This window comes from Homo sapiens, chromosome 6, assembly GCF_000001405.40.
Source record: "Homo sapiens chromosome 6, GRCh38.p14 Primary Assembly".
NCBI classification, from domain to species: domain Eukaryota; kingdom Metazoa; phylum Chordata; class Mammalia; order Primates; family Hominidae; genus Homo; species Homo sapiens.
In genome coordinates this window covers 46,518,268-46,533,743 of record NC_000006.12, presented here as the reverse complement: position 1 = coordinate 46,533,743, position 15,476 = coordinate 46,518,268, and the positions used below count along the sequence as shown (strand labels likewise).

General features: G+C 38.5%; 1 long non-coding RNA gene across 1 annotated transcript in view; it reads right to left on the bottom strand.

Annotated features, from left to right (window-relative positions):
• Positions 1 to 257: 257 nt before the first annotated feature.
• The window catches only part of RCAN2-DT (RCAN2 divergent transcript), a 41,435-nt gene continuing 26,216 nt past the window's right edge, over positions 258 to 15,476 (bottom strand). The window contains exons 2-3 of the long non-coding RNA NR_125837.1: positions 3,353 to 3,527; positions 258 to 1,356 (exon numbers count right to left, since the gene is read on the bottom strand). This is a non-coding gene — a long non-coding RNA (RCAN2 divergent transcript). The remainder of the gene's footprint in view (positions 1,357 to 3,352; positions 3,528 to 15,476) is intronic.

The window sequence follows — 15,476 nt, the reverse complement described above, 5'->3', positions numbered from 1 at the left end:
AACTAGTTTACAGTCCTACCAACAGTGTAAAAGTGTTCCTATTTCTCCACATCCTCTCCAGAACCTGTTGTTTCCTGACTTTTTAATGATTGCCATTTTAACTGGTGTGAGATGGTATCTCATTGTGGTTTTGATTTGCATTTCTCTGATGGCCAGTGATGGTGAGCATTTTTTCATGTGTTTTTTGGCTGCATAAATGTCTTCTTTTGAGAAGTGTCTGTTCATGTCCTTCGCCCACTTTTTGATGGGGTTGTTTGTTTTTTTTCTTGTAAATTTGTTTGAGTTCATTGTAGATTCTGGATATTAGCTCTTTGTCAGATGAGTAGGCTGCAAAAATTTTTTCTCATTTTGTAGGTTGCCTGTTCACTCTGATGGTAGTTTCTTTTGCTGTGCAGAAGCTCTTTAGTTTAATTAGATCCCATTTGTCAATTTTGGCTTTTGTTGCCATTGCTTTTGGTGTTCTAGACATGAAATCCTTGCCCATGCCTATGTCCTGAATGGTAATGCCTAGGTTTTCTTCTAGGGTTTTTATGGTTTTAGGTCTAATGTTTAAGTCTTTAATCCATCTTGAGTTAATTTTTGTATAAGGTGTAAGGAAGGGATCCAGTTTCAGCTTTCTACATATGGCTAGCCAGTTTTCTCGGCACCATTTATTAAATAGGGAATCCTTTCCCCATTGCTTGTTTTTCTCGGGTTTGTCAAAGATCAGATAGTTGTAGATATGCGGCATTATTTCTGAGGGCTCTGTTCTGTTCCATTGATCTATATCTGTTTTGGTACCAGTACCATGCTGTTTTGGTGAAAATGGCCATACTGCCCAAGGTAATTTATAGATTCAATGCCATCCCCATCAAGCTACCAATGACTTTCTTCACAGAATTGGAAAAAACTACTTTAAAGTTCATATGGAACCAAAAAAGAGCCCGCATCGCCAAGTCAATCCTAAGCCAAAAGAACAAAGCTGGAGGCATCACGCTACCTGACTTCAAACTATACTACAAGGCTACAGTAACCAAAACATTTTTTAATTGATTGTGGTAACACTTGTACAACTCTGTGAATATACTAAAAGCCATTGAATCTTATACTTTAAATGGGTGAATTATATGCCATCTCAACTTTATCTCCATAACGCTGTTAAAACAACGGCTATTGTGAAGGATAATCAATGAGAGGAGTGTGACTCAGAATACAAGACAGATGTGCAAAAAATACAACTTTTACATACCCTTTTACAGGACCTGATTCTGTGGTCCTGTTCTTGTAGGCCAGCTGCAAATTCCTTAAGAGAAACTACTTCTGAGGGCGCCCTCTGCTTCTCAGCATCACCGTGGAATTAGGGATATTACCTATTACCTAGAAAGAGAGACAAGCACCTCCATTCACCAGGGTTTCAAGTTTGCCTCTGTCATCATTACAGTCCATTGAAATCCCATGGTGCCCTGTCGTTTCTAGGCCTCACTCAGCATGGCTAGGAACACTGGAGCCTGCGTTCCCTTCTGCCCTGACTTTTTTGGTCTCACAGTTCCATCAGACCTTTCGGGACTCAGGTCTCTAGGGCTCAGCCATCTCATCTCTTGCCAGTCTAGTGGAAGATCTTGCTAGTCTAGGGAAAACCCCTCTTTGCTTCTTCAGGCTTCTCTGTGGTGTCTCTGTAACTCAATTCTCCTTGATCTTTAAAAGTTGGTATTGACGGATTCTAAAAACCACAGCCTATCTAAATTGTATGTTTGGCCAGACACGGTGGCTCACACCTGTAATCCCAGCACTAGGAGGCCAGAGCGGGTGGATCACTTGAGGTCAGTAGTTTGAGACCAGCCTGGCCAACAAGGTGAAACCCCGTCTCTACTAAAAATACAAAATTAGCCGGACGTGGTGGCACATGCCTGTAGTCCCAGCTACTTGGGAGGCTGAGGCAGGAGAATCACTTGAACCCAGGAGGTGGAGGTTGCAGTGAGGCAAGATGGCACCACTGCACTCCAGCCTGGGCAACAAGAGTGAAACTTCATCTCAAAATAAATAAATCGTGTGGACAGAAATGGCTTACATGGCAAACATATCCAGAAAGTAATAGAAATCGTTACATTCTACTCTTCTAGTGCAGCAAAGGAAAGAACAAATGGAACAACTAAATTGCTATAGTAGTGCATTCTGAAGGTTTATATGTCTTGATAGAGTGATGCTATAGAGTGAGTTAAAGATAATACTAAACATGGATTGTTACTTTGTATCCGGTATTGTGTAAGTACTTTATATGTACTACTTTTCTACTTTCAAGAACAAATAAGAAACATACTTACAAGGAAATATTGATTTTGGTCCTCAGTTCCAAGAAATGTGATAAACTGATTCATAAAATAAGCATTCTGAAATTGTTTGCAATACTTTATTGAGTGAGTTTAGGTAAGAAACCAGAGATTCTTATAGTTACCTACGCTGATAGAAATAAGGAATGTTGTTTAATTTTTCAACTTTATTTCCTCATCGGAAGAAATGGAAGAATGGTTTTCACTACAGAAAAAGAGCTCTAGGGCAATGTTTTCCTTTGCAACACTGAAGAGAGACCAGCCCCTCTCCTGTGGGGAGTGCCTAGGATAAAGAAGGAAGGCCTCCATCCTGGACTGCATAGTAGGAATAGAGGAACAAAGCTCTAACCCAACTTCCTGTTGTTCCCTGAGTCACACGTTAAGGATTTTCTCCTCAGTAACTGAGAAGTCTGGGCTATAATAGAGGAGTTCTCAGACCCCCTACATGTGTCACATTCTATGATTGCTCTACATATATGGTTGCACAAAGTGTGTCGCATCAGTAGGTGCCCACTGAAAGCAGAATTTGTGGCATTAATGTCACTGCTATAGATCTTTCTGCACCTTTTGTCATGCAGAAGATAAAGTACCAGGCAGCTCAGAGCAGTGGAAAGAACATTTAATTTTGACCCAAACCTCTCCATCCTGATTCTGGCTAATCCATTTACTAGCTCTGTTTCTACTCAGTCTCCCAGCCGCAGTTCTTATCCTACAAAACAAGGATACCTGCTACCTCACCCTACTGCTTACATCCAGTCACTTCATGAATTCTGTAGCTGATAAAGTGTCATACAGTTATAAGACACAATAATGATTAAAAACATTTCTGGATCAACTTCCAGACCCCTTCTATTTATGTTTTCCTGTAAATTGAAGTCATTATTCACTGCAGCTCTCAACACTGTCAGACCCAGGAAACTTCTAGTTGTCATTTTTCTGGAATCCTATTTTTGTGTTTCTCCAGTAGCTGGAACTGCTGCCACTCTGCTTGTCAGTCTCAGACATCCTGATTCTCACTCACCATTCTAGATGAACAAGCCTCTTACCTGAGACCCACGTATTTCACATTCTCTTCTGCCAGGTTGCTGTGAATAACTTCAGTTCTTCAATAACTAAATTTTTAGAGGCCTCTAGCTCCTTTACTTTCTCCTGTGGAAGAGGCCACAAAGAATCCTGGAACTGCCTTTTCCATGAAAATGCTCCAGGAGGTCAAGATCAAAACTAAACATAAAAGACGAAAATGGTGGTTTAGTCCCCAAGTTGCATTTTTGGCATTCTTTTCCCATCCTCTGTTAATCTGCCATCTAGCCAAAAAAGAAAAACAAGTAAAAAATAAAAGCAAGGCATTGTCCCCTGTAGGTCAGGGTTGGAAACACAAATGGATTAAACATCATAAAAATGTTTTTAGGTGAGCCCTAAAACGATAATTCAATTTGTAAGACTCTACACACTGAGATTTTGCTGAACTTTCTCTATAGCATAATGTGTCATTCAAGGCAGCTTCATGGAAAGCCAGAGACTATGTTTGAGAACATTCATCCGGTTATTATCTACAATGAACCAAAAGAATGTCGACACTGAAGTGATGGGAGAAGGAGGCAGAGAGAGACAGAGAGAAAGACAGAGAGAGAATGCACCCTGCCCTCAAGGATGTCCCTATTACAGAGGGACTATATCCCTCCCAAGAGCCTGCCTAACATCACATACCTATTACAAGCCTTTGAGATAGCTACTAATATTATCTGCATTTTTCAAAAGAGGAAACAGACACAGAGAGGTCGGGTGACTTGCCTAAAGTCACACAGGTAGTAGATAGCCAGTCAGAAATCAATGCAGGCATTTTGGCTGCAGAATCTGTGCTCTTAACTGTGTCTCTGCTTCCTCCTGTATAGACACTGTCAGCGCTTTTCCCCCAGGGTGTGAGTCAGATAGAGATATTTCAGATGCTGCATTGATAGCTTTCAAATTCCCACATCTCTAAACACTAAGGAGACAATGATCTCTTCCAGTAATTTCTAAGCCCAAATGTATTTGAGACTTTTAAAATATCATGGAGCAGTGCTGTCCACCAGGAGGATGGTTTAGTGCATTTTTAGTTTTTACTTTAAAAATCTGTTTTCTCTAAGTGTTTTCATACTTTCTACAGTGCCGTCAATAATATATAATCAGAGAAAGGAAACTTAAACAGGAATAAGCAGCATTCACTTTTTCTAGCTTCTTAGTCACATTATCAAGATTCTTCAGTGATTTTACTCTGAAAATATCCACTGAATTCCATCAACATTCCATTATCCCACAGGGCCAATCTTCAGAATTATGAATTGACATGTAGAAAGTGGTAAGAGCAGTAGATGCTACAGATTTCAATATATTTCCAACAAAATAGACATCAGTAGGCAATAACTACCATTTCTAATGCTTGATAGTATAGTTGGATAAAAGAGTCTATTCAACCTTCCACAAATTCTCTGAGGCAATTAGTTGCTATGAAATATTGCTTTCACTAGAATATTTTAGCTCACTGCCTGCTTCCCTTCTCAACATTTATCCATTACTCCCACCAACTCTCTCTCTCTCTCTCTCTCACACACACACACACACACCACAAGTGTTCCCAGGACTTTCTGAAATATGGGGCATACATTCTTATCATAAGATTATATAAATAAAATTAAATATAAAAATTGTGGAAGTAACAGAGCACAAACATTATAAACATAATAGATGCTGAAATAACTGCTACTGTTAATATTTGAGAGTGACTGAAGTGTTGGGTTACCCCTTAGTGGTGGGCATCACATCTACACCTTCCAGAACCCATCTGAGACATGTTCTCAGCCCTTTAAAAATGTTATTATCCATGTTTTCTTTAATGCTGAAAACTGCAGATCCCTTGCTTTGTGCCTTTGTTCTTTCATACAGAGACACTTTCTTCCATCTCTGGTTTTCTTTTGCTGAGCAAGGAGCCTTTTCCAATCCCTTGAGGTCTGAAACTTTCTCACCAAACTGACTCCCCTTTCCTCTGGAGACAGGCAGCATTGCATTTTTGTAGGCTCCTTTGCAGTAAGGTGTGGCCCTGTGACTGAGTTCTGACCAATAATGTGGACAAAAGTGATGCACAACTAACTTCCAGGACTGGCCGGCCCGTAATAAAAGCTTCCATGCACTGCTCTGTTTTCTTCCTCCACATACCAGCAGGAATTATGGATTCAGTGATGGTTCTCAGGCTACAGGGGATGGTGGAGAAACAAATAGAAAAAGTCTGGATCCCTAAATGACTGTATGGAGAAGGGTCACCTCCTCCCAGCACAACCCACATTAAAATGTAAAAATAGGAAATAATATACTTTTACAATGTTAAGTCACTAAAATTTGGAAGTTGTTAGTTCCAGCAGATAACTTATCTTGTACGTTTACATAAGAGTTATATAACATAATTTAAATGCTATGTTGTCATTTGGATCAGACTTAAATAAGCCTCAACATCACTTGAAAATTATTTCTGTTACCATGCCATGAAGAAAACTAAACTGAGTTTTCTCAGTTTGGAGAGCAAATACCATAAAATGAAATGAAGACAAATTAATTTAGACCTGTTTAAAACTTTAATTGATTTGATTTACTCTAGCTTATTCACCAATAAATGGAATGTGGTGAAATGATCGTCATGTATCTTTCAGATTTTTATGTTCTATTTACATGGGTTTTCAAGAGCTTTGTTCCAACGAGCTTGTTTTGTGATTCTGAGCTCCTTCAGAAAGTAGTTTCATATTTAATACATCATGTTTGATTGTTGCTAAGCATCCTTTTGGTGCAAATTAATAACAACACAAGCACTAGCTTCAAAAGCCAAATACAGGATGGGGCTGGAGCAAAGGATGCTAGACTGACTGCCCTCTGACTTGCAAAACCAGGAGATTTCACATGTGAATCTCTGTAACAATTTGTTTTTCTTTTGTTTTGGCTTCTTCTCCAGTAAAGAAGAAAATAAGAATACAACATTGTGATTGTGAATTGCTCAATGTTGATTAGCTCCTCTCTAATTCTTGTGCTAAAAAGAAAGCTCATCTGCAGAAGGCAAAAAGGCTGCCAGGTGGAGAAGGATGGCTGATCCAGGACTGAGCTGACCGCAATATGAAGGGAAATGAAATGGTTTTGTGTAGTCATATTAGGCACTGGAACCTGCAAATGAAGCCAAGGGTCAGTTACCGAAGGGGAGACACATGTAGGAACATGAACCTGAAGACAGCTGCTAAACCAAAAGATTGAGCATCAGAGGAGCAAGCTCAGGCTTAACAAATAGTGAGAATGACAGCAGGATATTCAACCATGGTGACAGTTTAGGGCTGAATTTGTTTAGCCCATGCAAAACCCAAGCCTGGAAGGCTTCGCCTTACCATTTAGCTTTATCCTGCAAGCTTGCTGGGTCCTGAGGGCCTCTGAGTGTTGTGAGTGGTAGAGGCAGCTGGCAGGTGGTGGAGGATAAGGTAGGGGATTATTCACAAAAAGCAAGTGGATCTTGGCTGAAACAAAGATACAGGGCTCAAATGAAGATCACACCTACTGATAAACAGGCAAAGTGCCATTGTTGCTGAAGTAAAATCTTCATCCTGTGCCAGCAGGAAGGAAAGCTAGTGTGGCAGTTGAGTACAGGGCTCCCAAAGTGTAGCCTGGGGCACTACGATGGCTCCTCCTTTTGTCCCCAGCTGTGGCCAATGGAGATATTGATGAAATAGAGGCTGGGCCATCCTCAGACACTGACCTGGGTCCTCTTCCTGTTCCCTTCAGGTCATGCCGCCTCCTCTTTCCCCTGTGACCTCTCTTCTTTATTTTCCCTTCATATTTTCTCTCCTTCTGCCAGAGACTGTTTCTCTAATCAAGGAGTGGGAGTGAACAGAAGCTTTTCTATTTCTCACATTTTCTTTTTGTCCCACTTGCATTGGCCAAAGCAAGTCATACACCCTAGCCAAGTATCAGTGTGGCAAGCCTTATAGTCTTCTTTTAGGGAATAGCCGTCATCCTCCACAAGCACCTTCTAACCAGTCTTTGGTGGATAGGATTGGACCTGTAGACTCTCAGGGTAGGGCCAACCTATTTCAGATGGGAGGGATCAAAGGGACAGAGAGAAACAGTTTTGACATGAAGCTTGAAGAAAATATTGAAGTCAGATACAAACCCCAGGAAGATTTTGGCCTCAGTGAGGAAAGTGAAAAGAAGGTTCATTTGTAAACATTACCAGAATACTTAGATTAGTATTAATTGATAAAATTGAGTTAATGAATGACCTCTCTGGGTTTGATCAAGTTAGCTTAAAAGAGAAAAATGTTACTGGCTCATTGTTAGCTTGGTGCAAAAGTAATTGCAGTTTTTGCCATTAAAAATAATTAATTTTGCACCAATCTAATATATGCAGTAGGAACTTTGAGCCTTAGTTTTATGGATTTGGATGGGAATGCTAGAAGAATGTAATAATGAAATCTTTGGGAAAAATTGTATTCTATAAATAAGGAGAGCTCCACAGTTACCAAGATTTTGGCAAATATGATTTAAATGTCAGTGAAGGAGTTTCAGTCTACATTTGAATGGAATCTTTTCCTTCTTGTCCTTTTCTTGCTGTTATTGTTCCTCCCCTTTCTCCACTCTCTTCCTCCTTTTCTTTATTCTTCTTCTTATTCTCCTTCCTCTTTTCTTCTTCTTCTTTTCTTCTTCTCCTTCTTCTTTTTCTTCTCCTTCTTCTTTATCTTCTTCTTTATCTAATTCCTCCTTCCTCTTCCACTTCCCTCCCCCCTCCCCCTTCTTCTCTTCCTTTTTCTCCTCCTCCTTCTTCCTCATCCTCAGTCTGATCAACCTCCCTCCTTCTCCTCTCTTCTTTCCTTCTTCCTTAGTATTCTTTTCCTCATAAGTATTTATACTGCCACTTTTGAAATTCTTTGAATATTTTGTCAATTCTCAAGGATTTTTTCAAATGTAGCTTTTTAAATACTAAAAACATACACTGATTGTATCAATTAGAATTATATTTGGCTGTATATAATGGAAAAATCCCAAATAACAATTATGTAAACATACCAGGTTCATTATCCCACATTAAAGAAGCCAGAGTTCAGCAGCCCAGGACTGGTTTCACCCTCCATAGTGTCATAAACTTGACACCGAGAAGGGCAAGGAGACCTGGTAAGGTCACACATCAAGTCAGCAGAACTTGGACTGCTGGAAAGCAAGACAAGTTTTGTAACTCGAACAATGGAGCTTCAAGCGATTTCTAAATTTAGCTTATTTTGAACTTGTCTTTATTCTCCTTATTGTCCTCTTTTCTTTGATTTCTTTCAGCTCCTTTGTTGGTTTTATCTTCCCTTTGCAGCATCCTTGCAACAAAATATACCACATGGCCTTATTCTCCGGGAAGACAGTAACTGTCAGAAATATAGAAGTCACTACCTCTGAGGTGGTGCAGACACCTGCCTGTGGTCCTGATGGATCGCTGGGAGGTAATAAGATGGATTGCCCAGAACTTCAAAATGGAGTCCAAATGCAAAGAATCAGAGGGAATTCACACAGTCACAAAATGCAACACAAGGGACCCATTGACTTAAGGCATTTTTTTGGTGCTTCTTGCTTTTTTCTCTATTAATAACTGTTGGGTTATACTAATATCAAAGTAGGCAGTGGATGTGGTAGAAAAGGATGTGGGCTTTGATTTCAAATCTACTGGACTTATATTCAGATATTACCTATCTACCAGTTAAGTGTCTTGGGAAAGTTATTTCTATAACCCCACTTTCCTCATGTATCAAATGGAGGTAATAGTCTCCACTCTGCAGGTCTGTTGTCAGGATTAAAAGAGATGATACACATAAAATTTTTGGCTCTTTGATTTTAAACAAATAACTACAAACTACAGAAAAACAAGCCATATGAAAATTTATGTTTACAAAATTAGGTAAATTAGTTATTAATAATTTGAATTTTAAATAATAACTACACTGGTTTAAAACATGCCACCTTCAAAGGGAATGCAAAGTCTTGTTTACATAAAACAAATCTAATGTACACACAATTCGAGGAGTAAACTGATGTCTGTTTTACTCATTGCTGGATCTAGAACTAGAATGGTTTTGGGCACATGGGAAATTTTCAGTAAATATTTGTTGAATGAATGAATACATGAATGAATGAAATAACTTTCTATTCTATATGTACTTGGCACCATAGTAGCTGTTGGAAATACAAATGACTCAACTTTCATGCGTCTTAGATTCTAAGTCAAGACAAAACAGTAAAATGATTTCAGATACTGATAAATACTATGAGGAAAATTAAACAGGGTTATGTAATAAAAATTGATTCAAGGAATGTGAAGGAGGCAAAAAGAGGCTGAGATTGGATGGTCAGAGAATTCCTGAGTGATAGGAAAGGACCAGTTATGGAAAGATCTAGATTTGTTGTTGAAGATTTCCTTAACAAGCACTGTATATATTTATTTGACTTATGCTAATAGAAATCTATTTAGTACATTTTGGAAGGATTTTCTTAAGTTATAAGTTAGTCACAAGGTTTATAGTCATATATGCAGATACTATCGTATATTCTACAAAACTCGGGAATTCTGAGACTTTAGGGTCTCCAAGAAACTAACGTTGAAATGGGCAGTATTTTCAAAAGCATGTTCCAGTAGACATAAGATGGTTACAGATGTATTCCTCAAAAAAAAAAAAAAAAAAAAGAGAGAGAGAGAAAAGGTCCTGTGGTCAAATACACTTGGGAACCAGTCCATGAGCACTAACATATTAAGGTCTTGAGAAGTTCTGAAGCAGAGAAACACATACTACATGTATTCCAATGTTTTCTGAACATATTTTCAAAATTTTGTTTTATTTTTTTTTCTCTGTGCACTTATTGACATCAATATGCAGTTTGAGAAATACTGTTATAACATAAAAGATGAGGCTTTGGTACAAAGGGAAAAGAGAAAGATAACCCTATGCCACACTTATACACTGTTGGTGGGAGTGTAAATTAGTTCAGCCATTGTGGAAGACAGTGTGGCAATTCCTCAAAGACCTAAAGACAGAAATACCATTTGACTCAGTAATCCCATTACTTGGTATATACCCAAAGGAATATAAACCATTCTATTATAAAGACACATGCACATGTACGTTCATTGCAGCACTATTCACAATAGCAAAGACATGGAATCAACCTAAATGTCCATCAATAGTAGACTGGATAAAGAAAATGTGGTGCATACACACCATGGAATACTATGCAGCTGTAAAAAAGAATGAGATTATGTCCTTTGCAGGGACATGGATGGAGCTGGAGGCCATGATCCTTAGCATACTAACACAGGAACAGAAAACTGAATACCGCATATTAGTGGGAGCTGAATGATGAGAACACATGGACACAGAGGGGAACAGCACACACTGAGGCCTACTGAAGGATGGAGGGTGGGAGAGGATCAGGAAAAACAACTTATGGGTACTAGGCTTAATACCTGGGTGATGAAATAATCTGTACAACAAACCTCCATGACACAAGTTTACCTATGTAACAAACCTACACTTGTAAGCTTGAACTTAAAATTAAAGTTGAAAAAAAGAAAGATAATCCTTTGTCATAAGCCTTGCAGTTCCAAAATGGTATATTTACACAGACTTACCAGAAACTTAAAATAAGCTCCAGATATCATATGTACATACATTGCCTACTTTGACCAAACTGTTGACCTGATAAGACAGATGATCACGTTTAGTTTTTGCATACTAGAGGTTTTTAAAGTTGCTCTGCTTTGAAAGTGGGATGTGTTTGCATTTCCTCTATAATTTTATGAGAATTAATGACAGTCAAGTGTATCTGTTTTTTTTATTTTGTTTCATTTTGTTTTGTTTGTGTAAGGCAAGCAGTGGAATATGCCAGGAATTTCATGAGCTTTGAACATGTGAACACCGCACTTAGCTCTATAACTCCATCACTTGCTAGAGGTGGTTTTAGGCAGATTACTCAAACTTTCTGAACTTCACTTTTCTCATCTGCAAATGGGGATTGTAATAGCCATATCCTACTTTTTGGGGGATAAGTCAAGCTGGTGTAAAGGACTTGCAGGAGAATGTCACTCTAGCCACTTTCTGAAATGTTTACTTGGGGACTCTAGAGTCTTTCCTCTGAAAATCTTTTTAATCCCCCTCTGGAGATTCAGTGGGAAAAAACAGAATGTTTGCTGTTTGTTTCTATAGTGATGACTCATGGAGTGCTGATTTACTGAATCAATTAGTGAAGAAGTAAAATTAATGTCTTATTATATAGGTGTGAAATAAGCTATTCAGTCAATGCCATAAGCAAGGGCTTATCTAGATACTTTATCTCACCCAAACCAAGCTAACAAGAGTCAGTGGCCAGCAAAAGAGTCTCTCTTTAGTTCCCTAAATGTTCTAAAGATGTAGACAATCTCAACAACTAACAACTGAATTCATCACATCAACTGCATAATAATAACTATGGATGTTCTCCAACTATTGTTCTCATGACAGAATCAGTAAGAGGATTTGGCCTGCCTAGGTCTTAGATGACTACACTATTTCCAGTGGACCACACACAACCAAGTGCAACAATGATGTAACATTGGTAAAACTGATTAGGTTAAGAACACTATTTTAGAAGATTGTTTAACAAACATATTTTTAGGCCTTAGAGAATGTTCATGAAGGATTTTAAGCCCACTTGTGCAGAGGACTCCTGTATCACATAATGTAAGTGCTCAGGAATTATCTCATGAGTCATTCCTAATATTAACCAAAAGTTGAAATAGTGGTATGTTCTTTTGGTTTGATTGTTTAGTTCTAATCTTAGTGTTGATTTTAGAACTGTGGAATATAAAAATGGAACCATACTACTGGCATGAAGAGAGGAAAGCAGTGTATCATGGGAACTAGGGGAGTTGGAACATTCCACTGCATATTCTTCCTTCTTCTAGGACACTTTGCTTGCTGGTAGAAAATGAATACAGTTATTTAATGCATCTCTTTCATTAGAATGCTGTATTAAAAATAAGTTATGATCAGATTAGGAAGAATCCTGGACTTCAGAGGCCAGAGACATAATTTTGGTGTTGATTCTACCATCTATGTACCTTAAGCAAGTTACTCCCTGAGCCTTACTTTGCTCTTCTATAAAATGATGACTTCACTGATTATTTCTAAGACATCTTTCAGTGTTCTAATTCTATCATAGTCCAAAATCCATGACCTTTTCTTTCTTTTCTGATTTTTCAAGGCATTCAGATATCTTGCTTTTTTGCTACTTTTCTACTGATTTGCTTCATGTTACGCCTTTCAAGAAGCCCAAGTTATTCCAGTCTCCACAAGGCTACTACTGGAGTATCAGGAGAGAGGTGAGGTGGTATTTGTGATGGTAGAGGCAAAGCCCCCTTTTCCTGAATCACAAAATTCATGAGATTGAACTTTAGGTTTATATGTTGGTCTTTTTCTGTACCTGCCGCAGGCACTATATTGGATTCCAATACCTGGCAAAAGTAAACTTGATCAATAATTGTTGACTTTCAGGCGGGGTGTGGTGGCTCACCCCTGTAATCCCAGCACTTTGGGAGGCCAAGGTGGGTGGATCAGTTGAGGTCAGGAGTTTGAGACCAGCCTGACCAAGATGGTGAAATCCCATCTCTACTAAAAATACAAACATCAGCCGGATGTGGTGGCTCACACTTGTAATCCCAGCTACTCGGGAGGCTGAGACAGGAGAACTGCTTGAGCCTGGGAGGCAGAGGTTGCAGTGAGCTGAGATGGCACCATTGCACTCTAGCCTGGGCAACAGAGTGAGTAAGACTCCATCTCAAAGAATAAAAAAAAAATAAATAAAAATAAAAATGTAAAAGAAAATTGGTGACTTTCATCAATCAAAATTTTCTTTTACCATCACCATCTTCTCTGACCTGAACAATATACCAGGCATTACTTAGACAGTGAGAAAAGTTAAAGAATTTGTCTCTGTTATTGAGGTCTTCATATTCCAGCTAAAGTAAAAAGGCTTGCACAGAGAAGTACATGATAACATAGACAAGAGGATAGCTTGGGTGTTCAATTGTGTGGGATTGGAAATAAGTGCATGAAAACTCCTACAGGGGAGTGGGTACCGTGGAAAAAAATAGTTTGGATAACACTTCCTGGGGAAACTGAATGCTAAACTTTGAAGAGTGGGAAGATTTAGTATGATAAGTGGCAGATATAATAACAATTGAGAAAAGTTATAAGGAAAAAATACAAAAAGGTGCTGGGTAGAGACACTGATTTCCCATTATCTACTCATCTTGTGAACTAAACCTTGCCAAACAGTGTCCTCAAGGCAAAGCACAATCCACTGGGGCATACATCCAAGGATGAGGAACTTTGCTGAAACAAAAGGGAAAGGGAATTTGTACAGGAAAGTATAATTCTGCCTGAAAGTAGAAAATCCGGTAATTAACTTGACTTTTCCTTAGCAATTGTAGCAGTTCAGTTTATCCCAGGGCCTAAAAAACTTTTGGGTTATAAGGGAATCCTAGTGGCTGCACTTGACTGGCTAAGTTCATCTCTTATATAATATGTATTTTTTCTGGGCTTGTGGGTGAGAATCAGAACCTTTTCAGTATGAGGTGGAAAGGTGGGTGAAGTTACTTCAAGTTCCATGACTATTGAGAAAGGTATCAGTCACAGTAATTTTTTTTCAAGCTAGAAGAGACATTAAGAATACCCAGGACTAAAAAACCTGCAGGTTCTGCACATATATCCCAGAACTTAAAGTATAATAATAATAATAAAAAAGAGTGCCCAGGTCTTCATTTTATATATGGGAGAATAAGGCCCACAGAAGTTTGGGTAACTTATCCAAAGTCATCATAACCATATATACATGAGAACCACTGGGTTATAATTTTGCTGTCATGTCATTCTTTTAAAGAAAATTATTGGCATTATTTTTCCTATCTCTCTCCCATAACAATAAAATCCCTTTCTGATCCTGCCCTAAAACACAACCATTTTTTAGCACCCCATGTGTGCCCCACTTCTTATGTCCTTAGATACTAACCTGAAGAAAAATTACACAAAGAATACATATTTCTTGTGGGAATATTTAAAAACATAGATAAGCACAAAAAGGAAAATGAAGAACCATCTTCAAGTCCCTAGAGAAAACCATAGCTATATATTCCATGTATCCTTCCTATGCATATTATAATATTAAAAATATTATAAACATATTTTAATCTAAAAATGGAATTTTACTATTTTCATACTACTATTTTAGTATGCTATTTTTCATATAATATTTGTAAGCAACTTTTCATGTGAATGTATATACTCCTACAGCCCCATTCTTGACTCTACGTAAAAAAAGAACTGGAGTCATTTCTGGTGAATTGCTTAAACCCATTCCATAAAATGCAAAGTTTCTCCAGAAATACTGACCCTGCTTGAAAAAAATGCATTTGGCTGTAGATATAGAGAAATGTGAAGCTCTTCCCCTTCTAAAATCTGGTGGTATTATCAACTCCTATTTTAAGCTTGTTTATGGAACTAGAATAATACTGAACATGGATATATAAAGGTGATTACAGCAGTTCAAGTTTGACCTTTGAAAAATCTTTCCCTGTATAAACAAAGTCTGGAATGTTTTAAAACCTCTAAGCCAGTCAATTTCTTTTTTTATTTATCATAAACCTGAGTCAACAAGGAATGCCCAATTTATTTAAAAAGTAGGAAATGAAAATGCCTTGGTTCCTTAACCATAAATGAAGGAGCTATCTCTGGACACCATGAGTTCCTCGCCTCGAACCTGCTGCTGCACTCTCAGGGTCCTGCAAACCCGGCCTCACCCTGTAGCTCTACCTGATTCCTCAGCATTGGTGGATCTGCTCCCACAATTCTGCTTAGGCAATTTCTTCACTGTCTCACACCCATGCTGATCTCATTCCCACTTCCATATTTTTATCCCAATAAGATTTTCCATGAAACATCCATCCTCTCCTATTTCAACCCCATCCTTACTCGCAGGCCCAGCTGCGCAGCTTCCCCAGTGCAGCCATCCTAGTGAGATTCATCCCACACTTTATACTCTTATCTGGAATTTGCTGGCTCTGAAAGTAAATCTGGTCTGGTATCGCATGTCCATATTTTT